Raw genomic sequence first — 21819 nt, 5'->3', positions numbered from 1 at the left:
CAACCACATTCAAGTTTTAGCCTTCTATTTTAAATCTTATATCCATATCTCTAAATAACATATTTATACTGCTACTTCTCGACTTTTCAGGTTTGAGCATTAACTATTGACTTCTCACTCTGAAAAGTAAGAATTTACCTCTCTTTAACAACCATCCCAGGGCCACTGTATTTCCCATCTCCCTTCATCCTGATAGAATTATTTCATTAATTGATATTCAGAGCAAAGGAGTATAGTATACTTCATTTACTTTTGGAACCATTCAATCAATATGCTTCCCTACTTTCACTTTTCCCAGAGTTAATGAATCATTCCAGAATCTCCCTCATTGATAGATTGATAGAACATGTCAACGATTCTATCAATTTCATCATCTGGAGCCATTTTCCTCAGAGTCTCTCCCCATTCCCACCTGGACTGGGTGGTCTCTAGACCTGATGCACTGCTCTCACCTTGGTACCTCCCATCACCATCATCAGGCTAAGATTTGTCTCTTGCTGGGGACTTTCTCTCTCCTACATTCTATCTCTTCCTTAGTTTACTTTCTAGTTTTGATAGAGCATATCCTCTGGTAGCTTTCTGAGGTTTGTGAGGAAAATGTGTTGAGAAAGTATGTGTCTGAATCTTTTTATTCTCATGACTAATTCATAATTTTGGCAGCTGTGGAATTCCGAGTTGTAAAATGTTTGCCCTCAGTATTTTAAGGGTGCCCATTGCCTTCTAGCCACCAGTATTGCTACTGAAAAGTCTGAAACCATTCTGATTCTAGATTTCTCATGTGAAATCTTCTCCCCCCAATCATAAGTTTGTTGAATCTTCCCTGTGCCAGTGAAATGACTCGATCTTTTGGGGATTTCGTGGGCTATTGCATCAACAAGCTCATATCTTTCAGTTCAGGAAATTTTCTCAAGCTATTTCTTTGAGTTTTCTTCCTTTACATTCTTTCTGTTTTCTCTTTCTGGGACTCTCCTTATTCAGTGCTGGAACTAACTCCTGAACTGGGTCTCTGATTTTCTAATCTTTGCTCTCCTGTTTCCTAGCACTTTGTCCTTTTTCTCTACTCTCTAGATTTCTTTCATATTCTCTTCAAAGCCTTTAACTAAATTTTTCATTTCTGCTATCATTGTTTTAACTTCCTAGGGCTCATCTTGTTTTTTGACTACACCTTTTTTATTGCATTCTGCTCTTGTTTCCAGGATGAAATATCTTCTTTTTCTGATGATATTAATAAAAGGGAGAATATTGGTATTAATTAATATTAATTTTTTTATTTTATTTATTTTTACTTTAAATAAAATTTTAATACATATTAATTTTTAAAATAATATTTTTATTTTAATATTTCCATCTTTCCATTTAGTCTCTGCTCCTAATTTTTCATTTTTTTATTTTTTGGATTGTTGTTGTTGTTTGTGGTCTGAGCTCCAAGTTTTGTATAAGGGGCTCTTCTCCAATGACTAGTGACCCATGGATGACTCACATTTCAGGGGGTGTCACTAAAGGCTGGTCGGTCACTCCATAAGCATGAATGAGGCATGTCCACCTCGGCGAACTAAACTGTTCACATGGAGAAATCACAGTGCCAATGTTTCGGGGTTTTTCCTTTTCAGCTGGTCATGCGCAGAGAAGAATCTTCCAAATGGCTGCCTAGAATGTGCAAGCTTGGCTTCCAGCATTCTGGAAACAAAATGAAAGAAGAGGACAGAGGGGTCTCAGCATTCAGTTGTAAACCTTCACTTACTCTCTTATCTTTTCAGTAAGGTGCCTATTCCCTCAATAGGATGTACCGTACCTTGTTACAAAGACCCTCTATCTAGCCATCTCTGGAGAATAAACCTCTGCTGAGGAGAGGAGGGACAGAATTTGGCTATTCTGAGTGGGGTAGGGGATCCCAAGTTCAAATGGCTTATTAAACAGACTTCAACCAATCCTCAAAGATTTTTTTTAAATCAACTTTATTGATTTAAAGTTGATTTAAAATCAACTTTACAATTTCCTCATGTCTCTGTGTACACTGTTAACTAAAACAAAATAACACATGTGGTTACCATAAGGGCCTCAGCAACTTGGGGGCTCAAGGCCTGTCCATTATCAGTCAGGTTCAATAAGGAGACAATACCCACACCAGTTCTTTGAACAGAGTAAAGAATTATTAACTAAGGCTGGCACGGTGGCTCACATCTGTAATCCCAGCACTTTGGGAGGCAGAGGCAGGTGGATTTCTTGAGCCCAGGAGTTGAGACCAGCCCAGGCAACACTGCAAAACTCCGTCTTCACAAAAAATTAAAAAACTAGTCAGGTGTGGTGGTGTACATCTATAATTCCAGCTACTCAGGAGACAGAGGCAGGGGGATGGCTTGAGTCCGGGAGGGAGAGGTTGCAGTGAACCAAGATCACGCCACTGCACTCCAGCCTTGGTGACAGAATGAAACCCTGTCTCAAAAAATAAATACATAAATAGAATTATTAACTAGGTTTAGAGTTGTTGACTGGGTAAGTGAAAGAGTAACTAACTCTAAAATATCACAGAACTAGCAGAAGTAGCTACCATAGCTAGGGGTGAGGTGACAGAGGGAAGAAGTTAGAGGTTATGAAAACTTGGAAACTTAGAGGAGGAGCCCCTGAAACTCAAACTGTTAAGGAGGAAGCACTGCTCGGCAGGTGCTAAAAGCAGGGCCCTGTGGGCCTGGGGCCCAGAGCTCTGAGAAAGGGGTAGTACAGTACCAGTACCAGGCTGGCTGGTGCTGGCATCTCTGAGTGGGAGGGCACAATGAGGCTGATTCTCCAAGTGTAGGGAAAACTGCCAACCGGATGGCAGGGTGAAGACGCACTGCCCACAAGAACAGCAAGCAGATGGGATGCCCACAGAAAGCAACGCCTCGAAGTCTCCCTCTGGCGCCCCCTATCTGCACATCCCAGCCAGAAGCCAGCTGACAAGGCACATGTGAGCCGTATGAGTCGGCTCCAGCACCCCAAAGCTGAAAGTCTAAGTGTGGGTTTGGAGCTAGAGACAGTAACTTAGTAACTGTCACACTCATCAGCTGGCAATGCCACCTACTCTGCATCACATTTTCCCTGAGCCAGTGAGACTTACCCATGTTTTTGGCATTTGCACCCATATCACCAAGGCTTCTTCAGCACAGCCCCTGAAACCATCAGCTGAGTGAGTCATGGGTTAGAGTAATTGAAACGCCCTGGTTTTGGCTTTCTGAGTGAGTCGTATAATGCAAACACCTGTGTATCTTCCATTCCTACCATCATTCCTGGTATATAGCAGGTACCCTTTAAATGTTTCTTGAATAAAGCCAAGCCTGTATTCAACTATGTGCTGATTAAACCAAGATACTGTTGCCTAAAAAAGCACCAACTATTTTTTTAGATAATAATATGCTATTACGGTTTAAGTCTGGCATTCAAATTAGGGCAACCCTTTAGAAAAACAATTTGGTTAAAAGCCATATCCATGAAGATATCAATCACGGCATTATTTATAGAGTGAGAGAAAGTAGCTCATGTGTTCTACAACAGAGGCGTGGTTAAGTTGTGAAACCATCTCTCATTAGCATAATATGTCTGCATGTAAAATCAGAGTTATGGGAATAGTGTTGTACTATCAAAAAAAAAAATACTTACGCCTTGGGAAGGCTGGATATCACAATGGGTAGAGCAGAGATTTCAGAGTCAAAGATATCCAGGTTCCAATCCTAGCTCTATCACTTATCCAAAGTGCAACTGAGACTCCCTGAGCCCTGGTTTCTTTATCTCTAGTGTCAGGAAAATGCCTGCTTCCCAGGATTATGTTAAGGATTAAATGAGAAAGAGAAAACAATCTATACAGATCTTGGTATGTGCCAGGTATTTCATAAGCAGTGAATGTTTTTATTGTCTTAAGTAAACATGGAGAATGGAAAGAGGTAGCAACACTATACTTACAATTATGCTTAAAAGAAAAACAGGTGCACTGGAGGAAAAAACTAAAATGAAATATGTTTAAATACTAAACAATGGTTGTACTGAGGGCTGGAATTATGATTGACTCCCTTTCTCTGTTCTCCAAATTATGTCATAATTCAATATATATATTGGGTCTCTGCCCCCAGCACTTGACACAGAACTCCTAAACCCTTGTAATAGCCTGAGTGATAGGGGTGCTAGGAGCAACTTTTTTTCTAATATTTAGTCTTCAATCCCTGTTCCTGACACAGAGCTCCTAATTTCCTGGACAATAGGAGTGGGGTTTTGGTTCTAATGAGCTGACTGCCAGTGGGCTCCTGGAGAGCATCAGGATAGGGGCTGGTCATAAGAAAGGTCAATGTCTGATTAGAAGCTTGGAACTTTCAGCCCCATTCCCCACGCTCTGGGGAGGAGAGTGGGGCTAAAGATTGAGTAATAATTGATAATGCTTATGTGTTGAAGTGTCCATAAAAATCCCTAAACTATGAGGTAGGAGAGCTTCCAGGTTGGAGAATGCATCCATGTGCCAGGAGGGCGGTGCCTCGCAACTCCACAGGGACAGAAGCTCCTGCACTCAGGACCCTTCCAGACCTTGTCCTATTTCCTCTTCATCTGACTATTCATGTCTGTCTTCTATAATCTCCTCTATGATAAACCAGTAAACCTAAAGAAAGTGTCTCTGAGTTCTGTGAGCCATTAAATTATTGAACCTAAGGAGCGGGTTGTGGGAACCCTGGATTGGTGGCCAAACTACACAGAGGTGTGAGTACCCAGTACTTGCGATTGGCATCTGAAATGGGAGCAGTCTTGTGGGACTGAGACTTTAACCTGCAGGCTCTCCCCTACCCTGGGTAGTTAGTGTTCAAACTAAATTAAATTGTAGGACACCCAGTTGGTGTCTGCAGAGAACTGGAGAATTGTTTTGTGTAGAAAACTCACACATTTGCTGTCAGAAGTGTTGTGCATAAATAAATGGTTCTCCTTTGCAGAAGTTATTCATGAAATTTGGTACTTTAATAATGGCAAAACAGGCCAGGCACGGTGGCTCACGCCTGTAATCCCAGCTCTTTGGGAGGCTGAGGCAGGCAGATTACTTGAGCTCAGGAGTTTGAGACCGGCCTGGAGGAACATAGCAAAACCCCGTCTCCACAGGAAAAAAAAAATTAACCGGGCATGGTGGCATGAGCTTGTGGTCCCAGCTACTCAGGAGGCTAAAGCAGGAGAATCATTTGAGTTTGGGAGGCAGAGGTTACAGTGAGCCAAGATCGTGCCACTGCACTCCACCATGGGTGACAGGCGTGAAACCTTGTCTCAAAAAAAAAAATGGCAAAACATATCATTTTTAAGAAAAAGTTATAAGCAAAACATTCCAAAGATCAGGAAAAGTCATGATTCATTGGTCAGCAAAATGTCCAAAGAGCTGCCTGCCTTCCTAAATAATTTAGTCCCAAAGCTATTAGTTGGGTCCAGGAAGGCAGACATTGTGCCAGGGCAGCAGCTGGGAGGGTTTTTGTCCCAGTACAGACAAGGGCACCTGTGCTGGCAGTGGTGGCTACACAGACAGACTGATTATACACACAGGTATGATGGAAGACACACTTCTCACTAAGGGAGAAAGGATTTATAAGTATGGAAAGGGAGGAACTGAATGAACCATGTGATCATGGGTTTGGTATTGGAGTTTTCAGTGTGGACTCAAGGCCTTCAAGATAGGCAGATAGACAGATAGATGGATAGATAGATAGATGATGGATAGATAGATAGATGGTAGATGATAGATAGATAGATAGATAGATAGATAGATAGATAGATAGATACAGATTTAAATTGTGTAGATGTATATTTACATAAACACATATACAGATATGCACATGTATTTGCTAACTCCACTGATGATTTTATTTCCTGTAGAACATTGTTTATTCAATCAATAGATTATATTTTTTCATTAAAGGTCTCATTATTTCCATGTTGCCCACCACCCAAACAAGACTTAGAGTTGCTGGTTTCGAATATTAAAGCTTAAAGGAAACATCCTTCCCCTGATTCCAGTCCAAGAATCACTGACAAACTGAACGACTCTCAAAAGCAATGAGGGGAACTAGTGCCCAGATCTCGGTTTCCATATCTCATTCTCCACCAAGAGAAACCACTGTTCCTTGGAAAGATGGCCAATGCCATGGGTGGGATAGGGAAAGCACAAGATGAGCCAGGAACATCTTGTTTTAGAAAGCAAGGGAGTGCCTAAAGAATGGAGGGGGTATGGCAAAAGGACACAGAAGCCTGCTGAAGGGGTGACCCCTTGGCCAAGCAGGGAGATTTTCAGCATCAAAATAAATAATGAGGCCAGGTGCTGTCATCCCAGCACTTTGGGACACCAAGGCAGGAAGATCACCTGAGGCCAAGAGTTCAAGGCCAGCCTGAGCAACGTAACAAGACCGTGTCTTTAAAAAAAAAAAAAAAAAAAATTAGCCCGGCATGGTGGTGCACACTTGAAGTCCCAGGTACTTGGGAGGCTGAGACAGGAGGATTGCTTGAGCCCAAGAGTTCAAGGTTACAGTGAGCTACGATCACACCGCTGTACCCCAGCCTGGGTGACAGAGCAGGACCCTATCTCAAAAATAAATTAACAAAAATAAATTAAAATTAATAAAATAAAGCCAAAATAAATCAAGAGTAAAATAGGAATCCCTGAGTCTACACTAATGTAAATAAAAATATGAATAAATAAATGTAGAGAAGAGAGTTTCTTTTTCTGTACAGAAGATGCCAACTAATAAATGCAGAAGTAATAGTGGACTTGGCAACTATCACAGTAATAATTAGGCCAAGAAACATCAATGGTGTTAAAACTAGTGGGAGGAAGTTTGATGAAGATCAAGATACTTACATAGTCTCAAAGGATCTCTCCATAAAGTGCTTTTTAATTACAAAGAGGAAAAAAGTAATTTACCTCGGAGAAGCCTGGCAGACACCATCTTAATCAAGCGATCAAAGTTAACATCACCGGTAATGGAACAAATTAAGATGGTGCAGGGCCTGACAGGATGCCATAGGAAGAAACACAGCATGGTTTCTGTGATTTTCCTACCAGAAATGCAGAATCAGAATCTATTCATGGAGAAACATCACACAAACCCCAATTGAGGGACGTACTACAAAAAACAAGTGTCAAGGTCATGGAAATCAAGACGGAGGAACTATTTCAGATTCGAGAACGCTAACCAGACATGACAGCCGCACGCAACCCCCTGACTCCGAACTGGAACATTTTGCTCTAAAGGACATCACCGGGATAACTGGGAAAAACCAATGGGGTCTGAGGACTTGATGGCAGTAATGTATTGAGATGAAATTCCTGGTGTTAATGGCTGTGTTGTGGTTATGTGAGAGTGAGAATGTCCTTGTTTGAGGAAATACACATTAAAGTATTCAGGAGTGAGGGGCCATCAGGCCAGCAACTTACTCTCAAATGATACAGAAAAAAAAAAGTCCTTTGTACTATTCTTGCAACTTTTTCATAAGTTAAAAATTATTTCAAAGGGGAAGAAAAAGTCCCAAAACTTCATTCTGGCTGTGGCTGAAAGCTCTGAGTCTTTCTTTATCTCACTAAAGGCAAAGGCTGCAGCCAGTTCAGGTGGCCAAACCTGTTCATCCTGACTGTCTTGGGGCAGGCTGCCAGGCGTGGGCAGACAAACACCTCCATGTGCAGGGGTTCAGGCCCGAGGCTGGCCTGGGAGGGCTGGATGCTGGCTGCAGGCCAAGGCTCCAGTGAGGAACCTCAGCACTAAGCACTCCAGGAGGAGGTCGGTGGCCTGTGGCCTCTAGGGCTTGGGATAGGAAGTGAAGCAAACCGGGACTTTTCCTATCCTCCACTGGGACCGAGACCTTACCATCAGGCCTTGAAGGCTCAGGGAAGGAGGAGCCTAGGGAAGGGAGGAGGGGAGAGGAAGAGAGCAGTGCCTTTGCTCTCTGGTATTGTCACATTATATATATAAACACATATATATACACATATATATACACGTGTGTGTGTGTGTGTGTGTGTATATATATATATGTGTGTGTGTGTGTATATATATATATAAAATCTAAGTCACCAGAACCTGTTGTCCTTGGCCCTCTATGCCATTTCCCCTTCACTGTTTCCCCAGCAGGGGTGGCAGGGGTCCAGCTGGTGCAGTTGCCAGTGGAACCAGGAGAGAACTGCCTTAGGAACCAGTGTTCAGTGGCCTGTCACTAAGGGTTTCTGAGGTTTGTTTTTCCCCACAGCAAAGCTGCTGCTTCACTTTTTGCATATTTTAACAGTTTCAATGTTTTCCCTGGGATAGTCCTACAAATTTCAAAAATGGAAAAGCAGTAAGCATTTGCTGATGCATGTCTTCTCCATGCAACTGTGAGCTGCTAAAGGCAAGCGCTGTGCAAACTCACTTTTCTATACACTCCCTCCCAGTGCCTAATAAGGGTCGGTCCACAGCAAGCGCTCAATGAATGCTTTGTTTCTCTGTCCAGGTGTGTGTGTCTGTGTGTGTGTGTGTTCCCGCACTGCCTTTTTCTGCATATCTGGGGGGCAAAGAGATAAGTCCCCACTTCCCTCCATGTTTCAGCCTGCAAAGGCTCTCTCTGAGGCACCTGATTCCTAAATAAGGTCGTTCATGTTTGTGACTGTCTAAAGTGGCGTGCTTTGTTCCTAAGAGATGGATAAGCCATCTTTATCTGCCATAAGAAACAAGTGAGACAATGGCTCCTAGAGATAAGGAGCTGGGCACTGGGCACATGCCTAGTGTGGCTGAAACACTGACTTTTGCACAGCGCAGAGAAGCTTGTCCCCACCCCACCCCAGTCATGAGCACTGTCCATTGTACTGAACGGTCACAGTTTGCAGCAACAGCGGACAATGGACCCCTGCTCAAGAGTCAGAGGTGTGGGAAAGAGGGTTAAAATAGGAATTTCCACTCCTCAGATGTTCTCCAAAGCCTGGTGGAAAGCACATCTGGGTCCTCACTGGTGACTGCTATGATCTAGATAAAGAATAGAGGCTCTCAAGAAATCAGAGATGGGCTCTGGGCTGGCAAGCTAGATCCAGGAGCTCTCATGGAGGTGATGGGGTCCCCAGGCTGGGCAAGCTCTAGGGCTGGAGGTTCTGCCCCCAGCAGTAGTGGCAAAAGCAGCTGTGAAGGCAATGCCTTCGGGAGCTTGCTGGCCCTTTTCAGGCTGTGCTATCTGAAAAGCATCTACGCATCGTACAGCCCATGTCAACAACATTTCGGCCCACAGAGCTGGAATGCTTCATTCAGCCCCAGGGCCTTATCTTCTGAGATCCAGTTACTAGCAACAAGCATCATGATAAGGTGGCAGCCAGGCGCCTGTCTGATCCTGCCTGGGTCCGGCATCTGACCCCAGTATGACCTCCCTCCTCTCCCACCTGGGCCTGACTCATGCTTCCAGAACAGGAACTCGAGGATCCCTGCTGCCCAGCCATAGCTGACTCATGGCTGGTCCAGGGGTTGCTCTGGAAGGGGCTCAGGACAGCTGTCAGCTCTCAGGAAGGAGACACCTGTCATTTCCTGAGCACCTACCATGTGCCAGGCACCAGGCACACCTCTGAATTTCATTGGTATAATTAACTTGAAGGGGATTTCTGATCTTTCGTAGAAAGGAGAAAAATGAGGATCAGGCAGAAGTGAATTCAAAGGCCAATCTCTTAGCACCGAGCACAGCCATCCACTCACCCTCAGTGCACTCCCTGGGGCCAGCCACCACCACCCCTGGGAACCACTGTTTCTTTTCTAAAATTTAAAAAAAAGAGAGAGAGAGATTGGGCCAGGCGCAGTGGCTCACACCTGTAATCCCAACACTTTGGGAGGCCAAGGCAGGCGGATCACTTGAGGTCAGGAGTTGGAGACCAGCCTGGCCAACATGGTGAAACCCCATTCCTACTAAAAAATACAAAAAATCAGCTGGGTGTGGTGGCACAATCCTATAATCCCAGCTACTTGGGAGGCTGAGGCATGAGAATCGCTTGAATCTGGGAGGCAGAGATTGCAGTGAGCCGAGATCGTGCCACTGCACTCCAGCCTGGGCGACAGACTGAGACTCTGTCTCAAAAAAAAAATACAGAGAGAGGGTCTCACTATGTTGCCAAGGCTGGTCTCCAACTCCTGGACTCAAGCAATCTTCCTGCCTCAACTTCCCAAAGCTCTAGGATTACAGGTGTGAGCCACCTCACCCAGCCTCACCGTTTCTTCATTCATTCCTCCATCCCACATTTATCAACGGCTTCCTCTCCTCTGCTTCATGGCCAGTCAGTCCCAGAGGGCAGACTTTGGGAAGCCCACCAGCTCTCCTGAAGGAGTCAGGCTTGCCTGGGAAAGGGGGCACTTGCACCCCAAGTCCACCAAGGCAGAGACAGGTATCCCTACTCCCTGCAACCCTCTCTCAGCCAGCGGGTGGGGCTAGCGTGGCCTCCATGGCTGCAGAGGGGTCTCTGGCCTGGACTGCAGCATGGTCTTGGCAGCACACTCCTGCACCCAGTAGGTGCTTCGGGAGGCATCCTTGCTGTCCCCTGGCATCAGCCCTGCAGTGGGTGAGCAGGTGAGGTGGCAGGAGCAAGGAGATCACCTCTCATTCCTGTGGTTTCAGGTGCCTGGCTGATGTCAGGCCTGAGTGATGTGGCAGTGGGGGCAGGGGGTCACTGTGTCTGGGGCCTGAATGGGGGCTGAGGCTTTTCCTTAAAAGTTCATAAATCACTAAATATGTCCCCTTTCAGCACAGCCACACCCTGGGCCTGTGAGGATGCATCTCCTCATGCAGACACAGACAGCTTTCCTCAGGCCCTGCTCACTGCTCACATGTGCCTTTATGGTGCCACAGGGATATGGTCTCATATCCCTCACACGTGCAGTGAATACACACATGTGCACATAACTCACACAGGCAGATAGTCCCTCTTGGGCACACAGGTGCATGCTACAAGCAGCCTTGTGTAAGTGCCCACAGCCCCCTCCCACCTCACACATGTCCACGTGGCTTCATGCTATTCCGGTGCCCACTGGTGTCCCCAGGCACAGAGAAGCACACACTTGGCAGGGCACTTAAGCTTCTCCAAGCACTCAGGGAAACACATGACTTTGTGCTATCGCACATGCTCCCAAATGTACACACTCACAAATATGCAAAGTCTGCAGGAGCCTGAATTCCATCACACACCTGCACAGTCATGTGCACTCAGCACTCACACATACACTGCGGTTCCCAGGGGTGGTGCTCACTCAAGGCAGAAGGTACACACTCAAATCATGCACACACACCAGATGCGCACGTGCATGCATGAACAACAGACTATGCCCAGGTGTCCACACAGCATTCGCACGTTCATGCCCACCAGTAGACTTGTAAGCGGGACCTTCAGGACATCAGGAACGAGAGTACAGCAGGGAGGGAACTGCAGCTGGCAGGATGCTGCAATCCCCAGCCTCACCTCTGGGAGCCGCTGTCGGGTCTGCAGCCAAGCCCTTGGCTTGGAAGGGCAGGAGCCTGCCTGAGGCACAATCCCACTGGCCTGAGCCAGCAGGTGGCACAGCTCAGGCTGGACCCAGCCAGCCTCAAGGAGGGAAGAGAGGGACATCATGGTGGCGCTGGACTCCCTGCAGGGTATGGGATGAACTCTGCTGCTCAGATGGGCAGGGGCTGCAAGAAGGAAGAATGGGCAGCTTGAACTCAGGGAGGCGGGTCTGTGGTGGGGCAAGTGGATGGAATAGAACTGGAGGGTGGAGGAGGAGATGGGAAATGGAAGGGCAGGGGGTTAAGGAAGAAATAAAGGAGGCAGAGGGAAGGACTGCGGGGAGGGAGACGAAAAGGTTGAGGATAGGAGGGGAGTGAGAGAGAAGAGAAGCAGAGAAGAAAAAGTGAGGAGAGAAGAGGGGCCAGACCGGGACAGAGCAGTGCAGGGCTGTGAGGAAGGAGGTAGAGGGATGGGCACGCCCTGCACCACCAGCCACCTAGCCTCCCTGTCCTGCCAGCTCCATACCCCGTCAGGAAAGACAGGCCAGGGCTCTGCTGCCCTGTGCCTCCTCCCTTCTCCAGACCCAGGATGTCGGCATCCCTGGATTTTGAGATCCAAAAGGCAGGGCTCAACTTACCCCACATGGAAGACAGTGACTCACACAGATGAGCCTGCTAGAGCACCTTTTCCAGGAGCAGAGACCCACAAGGGTGGACGGGGGCTTGCTTTCCCCTCTCCTGGGGCTGGCAGGAACACCCCACTCTTACCCCAACTCACAGTGATCGCCGGAGGGTGGTGCACTCTGCTCCAGCACCTGCCACCTGCCTAACACGCACTTGGGGACAGCTTCCAATAGGATGCAAGTGGCAGACAAAGGTACCCCAGGAGGGCAGGTGGGGGAGGGTGAGAAGCACTGGGGAATGGGCACCCCTCATCTCCCACAGGCTCAGCGGCTCCCTCAGGACAAGGAGAAAGCTGGGAACCCTAAGACAGAACTGGAGGTTCTCGTTGCCTAAATCTCTCCTGGCTTGCTGCACATGGAACCCATTTCTTCCCATTCAGGGCTCTGCAGAGGCAGAAGATGAACAGTAAGATGCAAAGATCTGGCAACCTTCAGAGCTGGGTGAGTCCTGGGGTCCTCACCCCATTACGCCTAAGCTACAACCCCATATTCCCTGTCCTCCCAGCCCTGGGGGCCCTGGTCCCACTACGCAGGGGTGGCTCAAAAGCCCAATGAGCTGGAAGGGTCTGAGAGAGCACCCCATGTCACAGGGGAGGTGAGGCAGCCTTGGACCTGGGATCTTGTTTGCGGCTCTTTATCATGGACACACTCCTAGAACTCCCCAGTCCCTCCACCTCCTCCTGAAGTACTCCAAGAGCTGGTCAACACCGAGAGCCCACCTCAGGCTGTGGCACGGCTCTTGGTGGGGCCTGGTGGGTCATGGGCTTGCCTCTCCCATAACTCAGGGCCCAGTTGGAGACACCGTGACTGTTCACTAATCAGACACCTGAGTGTGTAGGAGAAAGGCCTTGCCCACTCTATTCTTCAGATGAGAACACTGAGGCTCGGCGAGGCGACAAGTCTTTCTGAGGGCCAGTGGAGCAGACCAGCCTGGGAGGCCTAAGGGAAGTGCTGGCAGAGCTGAAGCCGCGGTTCCCCTGCCTGGTCTTGCAGTCCAGCCCTCCACCTCACCCTTCCCCCTCCCTCAGCCCTGCCCTGGGCTCCAAACTCCGACCTGATGGAGTCCCCACACCCTCTCACCTGGGCAGGCCCACCTCAGACTGCCTGCTCTAGACCCACACACCCCATCCCCTCCTCCCTCTGCAGGAGCATGCCCCTGCCATCACTCCCTTGCTCCATGAAACCCAAAGGCAGACCCCTCGCAATCCTCCCCATTCCCATAGCACTGCAGCCCCTGCATCTGACCACATCCCTTCCTGCTTAAAACTCTTCAACAGCTCCCAGCTTCCCTTGGAACAGAAAGCTCACTCCTCATGTCAGCATTCAAGAGCCCCGCATACTTTTCTGGCTTCATCTCCAGCCACTGTCACCCCCTACCATCACCTCCACACGACCCTCTTAACACCCTGGTCTGCTTTCCAAACACACAACTGCTTGCATGTCCCTGGCTCAGCCTACAGGGCCAGCTATGTCTCACCCTTACAAAACTTCACACGGCCATTCTAGAGAGGCCAAGTGCACCCCTCAGGGCTCCCGTAGCCCCCAGGCTTCCTCCCTTCCTGGTGCGTATCCTCTGTGTGCTTGTCTGAATCCTCCTCTAAACTGTAACCTCTCTGCAGGCAGGGGCCCAGCCAACCTTGCCAAATGATTGTCCTCTGCACCCAGCACACCCGTGAACCCCTAGTAGGTGTTAAAGAAACACTGTCTAACATTAGGCTCTAATTATTTCATTGATAGTGTGGTCTGGCTCCCCCCTCCATCCGCATGGGCCAAGGAGACACTCAGCCGGGGGTGGGGAAGCTGTCAGTCAAGTTCCCCTCAGCTCCCACCTCCATGCTCCCTCTCTGGGGGACGGGCCTGCCCCCACCATGGGGTTCCGGAGCAGTGGTAGGCCCACCACAGTGCCTGAGGCCCCAGGGACTGTCCCTGGGAGAAATGGCTTAACATCTTGTCAACACCAACCTCCCCAAGCTCCTTAATCACTTCAGACACTACACAGCTGATGGGTGAGCAAGAGGACCTGAGACCTCCCCCATCCCCTCTCCACCTGCCTACAGGTCCCTGGGGCCTCTGCAGAACCACCCAGAAGCCCCAAATTGTGACATCACCAGTTCAACAGCCTTCCCCACTCCCATCACTTCCTGAAACAGCCAGAGCGAGAAGATGATGCATGTGAGCCCTGCCCTTGGGAAGCTTCCAGGTTGGGAAATGAGGAATGAGCCTGACACCCAGGGCCCAGAGAGACCCAGGACAGAGGCAGGTCAGGAGGCAGACACGCGCTGCTGGGTAATGACGACAGCACCAGTAATCACGGCTACTCCTTGTTAAGTACTTACTAAGTGCAAGACTCCAAGCTAAGCAATTAATAGACCTTTTCTTGTTTAATCCTTACCACAATTCCATAGGGTGAGTATAATCCTTATTTTATAGATTGAAAAAGGAGGCTCAGAGAGATCTAGCAATGTGTGCAGCATCACACAGCTAGTCAGTGGTAGAGCTGGAATTTCAATCCAGATCTGCCAGCTGCAAAGCCGGTGCCCTTTCTACCCCACTTCAAGCTCTAGGTAGGGGTTTGTTACTTCCCTTCCAAAAAGCCTCATGGAAGCCCCATTACCAATAACATAAGCCCCCCACAGCTGAGGCTCCCCCAGTTTGACCCCTGCCTGCCTTCTCACCACTGCTCCCAACACACCACCATCACACCTTAGATTTTAACACTGCCCTTAGATTTTAACACTGCCGTTTTTGAAGTTTACCCCTCTGAGTCTTGGCTTCTGCTATTTACTCAGGCTCAAAAGCCAGCCCCACTTTACAGATGACAAAACAGAGGACTAAGAACGTTAAGTAAGTAGCCCAAGGTCACGCAGCTAGAAAGCAATTGAGCCTGGTTAGAGCCCAGGTCATTAGAGCATCAAGTAATCAAGCATTAATTTGTGTTACAGACAATTAGGGGATGAGAATTAGCAGGACTTGTCACTAATGGTGCAGAAGAAGTTAGGGGAGAGGAATCAGGCAGGTTCCAGAGTGAAGGAGGGCCAGGATAGGCCTTGAGAAATGGGCAGGTTCTGAAAGGGGAGGGCATGAGAAAAGTACAGAGATGACAGCAAAGAGAGAGAGAGAGGAAGGGACAGGGGGTTGTCAAAATTAGGGAGAGAATGTGGAATGGTGAAGAGAGCTGTGACTAGGAGTCAGGAGACCCGGCTGTATCCCCTCAACTTCCTGTGTGATATTGGGCAAGGAAGGCCCTTCCCTCTCTGGGGGGTGCCTTGTATATCAATGAAGGATAGATGCACCTAGGTGGTCTCTGGGGTCCCACCTGGCCCTGACATCCAGGAATTTGTGTGTGTGTGTTGCTATTGGATCTTGAAACACAGAATCTGACCCCAGACCCTGACACGGGGCACAGGCTTGGACACCAAGGGCAGACAGGGCCAGCTGCCAACATGACACCTGACAGAGAGCACCCGAGGGCTGTCCTCAGCCACACACAGTCATTCATGCACCCCTTCTCCCCCTGCATCCGTGCTACTAAGCATGTGTGGACTCGCTACAGTGGATCCAATCCTGTGGAAGCTGGAACGCAGCAGGGACGAACGAGTCATATCAAGGAAAGGCGTTTATCCTCAAGGAAAGGCAAAGGGAATGGAGGTCCTTAGAGAAGGGGCAGAGAAAAATTCCTGAAAGTAAGGGTGGAGTTTTCCAGATTGGAATACATGGTCTGCCAAATTGGAGGACATTTGAGGAAAAAGAATGGTCCCCAATCAAGACAGCACTGCATCCGAACATAAAGTACCTTTCAGACCATCAGCAAAGGAAACAGTCCTCTCCGGGGGGACCTGTGCTCGCAATAACAGACACTGCTGGAGATCTCAGAGCCCGTGGAGGCAGAAGATGCCTCACTAAAGACTGTGGACACACATATCTGGGCACACACACATGATGCACACACAGGTGCTCACACACAAGCCTGAACAGAGACCCCACCGTGGGCCGTCCATCCTCCCACTTCCCGACTGAGCTGGTAAGCAGCTCTCCCTCTCCAGGAAACACGCCCCTCACGTGTTGATGACATGCAGCCCTGGAAGTCAGAACGTCTTGCCGTCTCACCTCGATCCCTCTTGCTGCCGTTCTGATGTGCTTGCTTCTTTTCTGACTCAAGAGATGCCAAACAGAAACAGTCCCACCCACCTCTGCGTCCTGACTTTCGCCCTCTGGAACATGAACTCAGCTCTTACCTTTCCTATATGTTTGACCTCCATACCCCTGTCTTATTCACAACTGAATGCTAAATGATGGATCATGGGCACTTGGGAGCCCACGTGATCCTCCAGTGGCCAGCCTCACTGTACCCTCCAGATTTATCCCACAGCTAGAAGCTCAGCACAAGCACTAGCTCCTCTGCTCACTGGCTGCGAAAGCTCCGCCTGAGTTTCTGTGCTCTACAAGGTTATGGTAAAGATTACATGAGAACTACCTGCAAAGCACTTAGCACAGAGCAGGGCACAGAATAAGCCCTCGATGATGAATAATACACTTATTATTAATATTTGTTCCTAATTTTAACTCCCTCTACCTTTATCCCACCATCCCATAGGTTGAGTAGGAAGTCCTTCTTGAAGTCTAATCTCAAGAATTCATGCCATGGATTGGGCCAATGTTCCACCTTTATTGGAGTCTGGGGACTTAGGTGGAAAAGGCAGAACTGGCTGGTTGGAGGAGCCACCTCCCTGCAAGGGGCCAGGAGGGAGATTACGGAGGCGCCAAGCCCAGAGCTCCAACATGCACCTGCCACAGCTCCAGGGGAGATCGGGGGCCTGCCAATTTACCCCGCCCCATGATCTCATGGCTGTGTGCGCCAGGCACTGGCTCAGGGAGCAGGTACTGACAGCAGGGCCTGGGCAAGAAGCCCAAGACAAGACGGAAAGGCTGTGGAGAGCCGGCAACAGAGCTGTCCCCATGGGGCTCAGACACGAGCTTCCTCCAGCCTCCACGTGTGGCCTTTAGCTAGTGACTCACCATCTCTGTCCCTCCTTCCAGGCCCTTCCATGCTCCCCAGTAGCCTCCCCGTGCTGCCCCCTCACCCCAAAAGACAATGGGTGAGGGGAGGGGAGGCTCTCTTCCTCGCCAGGGGCCAGTCCCTCCCCTGCATCTCTTTCTGCTGACCCTGAACAGGACACCCTTGTTTTAAAGCACAGGAAGTTTGCTGTGCAGGAGATAGGTGGCCAAATGCTGTCACTCCTGAGGCTGCTGCAGGCATGCACCTAAATGCCAGCTGTAAAGGGACTATAATCCCCAAAGAGATGCCTCTCTCTCTCTGTTTCAGCTCTCTCTCTGTTTCAGCATGTCCGTAGAGATCAGACAGACCAGGAGTCAACCCCAACCGCAAGGTCTCCTGTATCTTGACCCTCAACCTCTCCTTCCCCAGCTAATTCCTGGATATGTCTCTCCCCAAATTATCCCCTCCACCCACCCCAAAATCCACCATTGGGGATCCAAAGACCCTCCCCTGAGCCTGGCTGGACAGGCTGCAGCTTCTGGAACACAGCATGGGCAGGCCTGGCTAGCAGCCCCAGGTGAAGGGGCCATCTGGTCCTACTGGACCACCAGGGGCTCCCTTTGCCTTCTGATTACAGGAAGAGGACTCCACATGGCCCAGAGTTCTGCCCTCAGGGTGCATTATCTGCTCCCCATCTCACTGTATGCTCTCAGGCCTTCAGCTCCAGCGCAGCCAGACACACGTGCCTCCTTGTCCCCACCAAGGATCTCCTCACCTAGGTCCTACCCCTTCCAGCTTCCTGGCCCTACTTCCTCACCTACCCTTCCTGCAGGGAGCCACCTGGGCTCTGCCTGTCTCTCCCTCTGCAGCCACCACCCCAGCACTAGAGTCCAGGTGCCCCTGCTGCTCCCACCTCAGACCTTGGTCTGAGAGACACCAGCCTCCCCCACCCTCAGGGAATTCCTCAAAAATCAGAAACCTCATGACCTGGGTCCATCCACCCTACACACACACACACACACACATATACATGCTCTATCCTCCCTTCCCAACCCCCGGCCCCCACCTCCCTCTCTGTAAGGAAACTGGGGAGACTCAAGTCCCCTCCAGCCCAGGAGCTCTGTGAATCTGAGGTTTCTCTCCACGGCCTCAGGTCCGGGCTTCCGCCCCGGATGCAGCCGAGTCTGGAAGCAGGCTGACCACAGGGTACACACACTCCTGACTGGCCTCTGGCTCCTAAGGAGGGGGATGGCTGGCCTTGGTAGCACTCCCCACTCCACTTCCCAGAATCTCCCTCAGCCCCACCTTGGCAGAAGCCACACTCCCCTCTTTTCTCTCCCCAGCATCTCACAGAGAAGATACTTGGATGGGCCACAGGCCAAAACTGGGCCAAAACCCTGGAGAGGGGGACCTGGCTCAAGGCCACACCACATTTCCATGTCATTTTCCAGTGGCACCAACTGAGCTGGACAGGTGTGTGGCTGGACAATCCCCACCCAGGAGGCAGGGCAAATTCCCAGAGTACCAGGTCACTGAGCCATCTCTGGGGTACGGCTCCCAAGGACTGGCTGGTTCTGGAATGATGCCGCTAGGATGCCAGATGCCAGCTGCTCCCCCTGCCTGCCCCAGCCTCAAAGAAAGCCTTGTCCCTCCCAGACCATCACATACTCCCCGCTCTTGGAAGCCTTCCCTGGCCAACCCCACCCAACTTTTACCACTTACTATACCACTTACTTCACGTCCCCTCGGCACTTAGATCCCAAGTTACCCTGTACTCATTTGCCCTTATTTATGTATTACTTTTCAGATGTTCTCACAGAGCTACACATGCCACAGTCATCACTAGTTGCGAGAGTCTCCAGTGTTCATTAAGCCTATTTTGCTGGAAGTTTAGTCCCTGGAGGATTAGTCCCTGCCCTTAAGGAGTGCCAAAGAAGACTTTGGAATCTAAGTCACATCTCCCCTGCTGCAATTTTTTCCTCTTGATAATCAAGGAATCTCACTGATAAAACTCTCAATGAGGAGCAGCTCTCCCCATGAGCAAGTTCTTGCCTTCATTGCCAGGGAGGCCCCAGCTAAGGTTATACTGGGAAAGGAATCTCTGGGGAGTACCTGGAAGAGGTCAGCTTCTCCTCAAAGGAAGCCTCTCCAGCTGGTGTACTGCAAAGCCTTCCAAGACCAAGTTCCCTCTTCCTGGCCTCTGGAACCAGCCTGTGTGCCAGCGCTGTGTCCCCAGTAACACACATGAGTCTCTCCCTCAGAAGCCACAGAAGGATGCAGAGAGAGACCAACCCAGGATTGATTCTCAGCACTTACTAATTGTGTGGACATAACTGCTCTGGACCTCAGCTTTGCTATCTATAAAATGAGCACCCTTTTTATAGATATGAACACTTTAAGAGAGTCATAAAGATTGAAGTTGATTTGTGCTGCGCCTGGCACAGAGGTCTCCCTCAGTAAATGGCAGCCACTGCTATTGGGGTGCCCCAACACCCCTTGCCCCTGCCCACCATTAGCTTTCACTTAGGCCCACACTGAGGGTGTGGCTGTTGTGTTGGGGGAAGGAAAAAAACCATGCCTGGGTTGCAGGGCCCCCACCACCAACTGGTCTGCTTTTGTGGGAAGCATTTTCTGATGCCCTCGCCCTACCCGTGGGCTGGTTGACTAAGTGTCCAGCATCATGAGGAAAAGAGCAGGGTTCAGGGACAGCTTGGCTCAGCCCTGAAACTCATCTGGGCCTAGGTCCAGATGAGAGGCAAGCCTGGGAGGCCTTCCGTTGTACCCTTGCCTATCCTGCAGCACCCTCTAGCCTGCAGGCCGCTCCTGGGTGGCATAGCACCTTGGATGTCAGGTGTGGGCCTTCCCAGGCACATGGCATGAGGGGGCACTTCTGTGGGTTGTTGGGGGCAGGAAGGGATGTGTCTCCAGCTGGACTTGGGCTCTCGCATTTTGGGGCCCAGCCATGCCAGGACAGCACACATGGGCGCTTAGTGCGAATCTCATGATGGAGCAGAGGAGGAGCAAAGCAAAACCAGGGAGTCCCCAGGCCCCTGCTTCTGCCCCGCCCAGAGACAGTGGAGCAGGTGTCTCCAGCTTCTTAACCTCAACGCACAGTAAGAAATACATTTTACAGCAACCAATAGACACATACATTTACAAAACGATACTCTGTAATGCACTGGGCTGGTTTTCTCTCCTCACGCCCCTCTAGTGAGTCACAGATGAGTCCCGCTATAAGTAATGTAAGCAAGCCACAGTCCCTGGCTGGCAAGTGAGGGAGTGCCCCACCAGGACAGGGACACTGAGGCAGCAATGAAAACAGCCAATGCAACCACTCCTTCCTTTTTCCCCCGCTCAGACCCTCATGGGTGAGGAGAGAAGCTGCCAAGCCGAGGACTCCATGAGAAAGATGCCGGAGCTGCCCCACTCCGCAGCAGGCGCTTCCCCTGGATTCTCACTATCCTCACGACAGCCATGAGCACCAGCAATTATCTGTTCCATTTTGGAGAGGAGGCAATGCAGGTTCAGAGGCTTTAAAAAGATTTACTATGTGCTTGCTGTGTGCCGGCAACGTTTATATGGTTTATATAATGCTGAATGGTTTATATAATGCTCAGCGCTTACCTATTCCCCAGAGCAGCCCTAGGGAGCAGGTACCGCTGCATCTGCATTGGCAGAGGAGACCGCGGCTCCCCCAACCCCCGGCTCAAGGTCTCACAGCTAGTTGCAGGCCTGCATCTCTCAACCCAGAACACCTTTAAGGAGTCCCTCCTGCCCCAGGCAGAGTCCTAGGCTTCCCTGCAGATCCAGGTAAACTTCAGGTAGGAGGAGGCCTGCCTGTAAGTGGGGAACATCAATGGGAAGGAGCAGATTGAAAGCCAGAAGAGAATATGAAGAAATGGCTGTGGCTGTGGGCTCACAGAAAGGGGGCAGCCCCCTTGCCCAGCTCTCCTCCATAATCCAGAGGCTATTTTAATTTAATGATGATCATAAAAGAAATATTGACGGTGTGGCTGAATCAGGCTCTGCTGTGGCCTCCACGCAGGCAGCCTGCTCTGGACCCTGTGGTTCCCTGGCTGCTCCAGACCCCCTCGCTCCCCAAGGTCAGCTGCAGATCAGAGCTTCCTGGGCACAGAGAGCCCTGCTCAGAAGGGACATCTCCATTCGCAGAGGTGAGACGGCCTGAGGGTTTCACGGTGGAAAGGAAAGCCCTGTCTTTGGAACCTGATATGGATCTGGCTGCCAGGGTCCAGGGTCACCTGTGGGGAGGGGCAGCAGCCGCCCAGCTCTGCCAGAGACAGAGGGCAGGGCCAGACCTGGGGCTTCCCGCCCAGGATGCCATCAGCCAGTTGAAATTCCAGCCCACGCCGGCACCCTGAGGGCTGTCGGGGAGGGGTGGGATTTATGACTTCCCCACCCCCCCGCAACACCCCAAAGGGAAATGTGTTGAGCTGGTCAACATCTCTCTGGTCACAGGGCCAGTGCTCCTGAGGCTCCTAAATAATGGGGCAGGAGCCAGGTCATTAGGCAGGGGAGACTGTCATTAGTGCGGGTGATGCCACCACCGCTCAGACAATGGCAAACAGTCATTAGCGGCTGTGTCACAGGGATGAGGCAATGCTGGATGGCTGGGGCGTGGCGCTTCCCCAGCCACACACTCACACACACACGCACATGTTCACA

At 50.0% G+C, this 21819-nt stretch overlaps 2 long non-coding RNA genes across 8 annotated transcripts, besides 2 other annotated features; one reads left to right on the top strand and one right to left on the bottom strand.

Annotated features, from left to right (window-relative positions):
* Positions 1-1242: 1242 nt before the first annotated feature.
* Positions 1243-14193, bottom strand: LINC00592 (long intergenic non-protein coding RNA 592). The gene is made up of 5 exons (NR_027358.2): positions 14103-14193; positions 12967-13079; positions 12096-12524; positions 3095-3146; positions 1243-1677 (listed from the first exon to the last, which is right to left on the bottom strand). It is a non-coding gene; the product is annotated as a long intergenic non-protein coding RNA 592 (long non-coding RNA).
* Positions 3093-3172: an enhancer, noted in NCBI's record as "active region_6396". NCBI's record gives its function as "activates an Ori minimal core promoter by ATAC-STARR-seq in GM12878 lymphoblastoid cells {active_cell/tissue: GM12878}" and the evidence as "EXISTENCE:reporter gene assay evidence [ECO:0000049][PMID:35858748]".
* Positions 11115-11676: an enhancer, noted in NCBI's record as "H3K4me1 hESC enhancer chr12:52607231-52607792 (GRCh37/hg19 assembly coordinates)". NCBI's record gives its function as "activates a minimal SCP1, AML or CMV promoter by ChIP-STARR-seq in naive H9 embryonic stem cells {active_cell/tissue: H9 hESC(naive)}" and the evidence as "EXISTENCE:reporter gene assay evidence [ECO:0000049][PMID:30033119]".
* On the top strand, positions 11540-20300 carry LINC02874 (long intergenic non-protein coding RNA 2874). Of its 7 annotated transcripts, NR_164130.1 has the most exons (5): positions 11540-11607; positions 12238-12334; positions 12521-12581; positions 18480-18609; positions 18944-20300. It is a non-coding gene; the product is annotated as a long intergenic non-protein coding RNA 2874 (long non-coding RNA). The 7 variants fall into 7 exon arrangements; NR_164131.1 differs by lacking the exon at positions 12238-12334; NR_164127.1 differs by lacking the exons at positions 11540-11607; positions 12238-12334; positions 12521-12581 and adding exons at positions 14293-14546; positions 16735-17018.
* The last annotated feature ends 1519 nt before the right edge of the window (positions 20301-21819 follow it).

This window comes from Homo sapiens, chromosome 12, assembly GCF_000001405.40.
Source record: "Homo sapiens chromosome 12, GRCh38.p14 Primary Assembly".
Classification (NCBI taxonomy): domain Eukaryota; kingdom Metazoa; phylum Chordata; class Mammalia; order Primates; family Hominidae; genus Homo; species Homo sapiens.
Note: the sequence above shows the minus strand (reverse complement) of the source record. Positions and strands in the feature narration are given on the sequence as shown.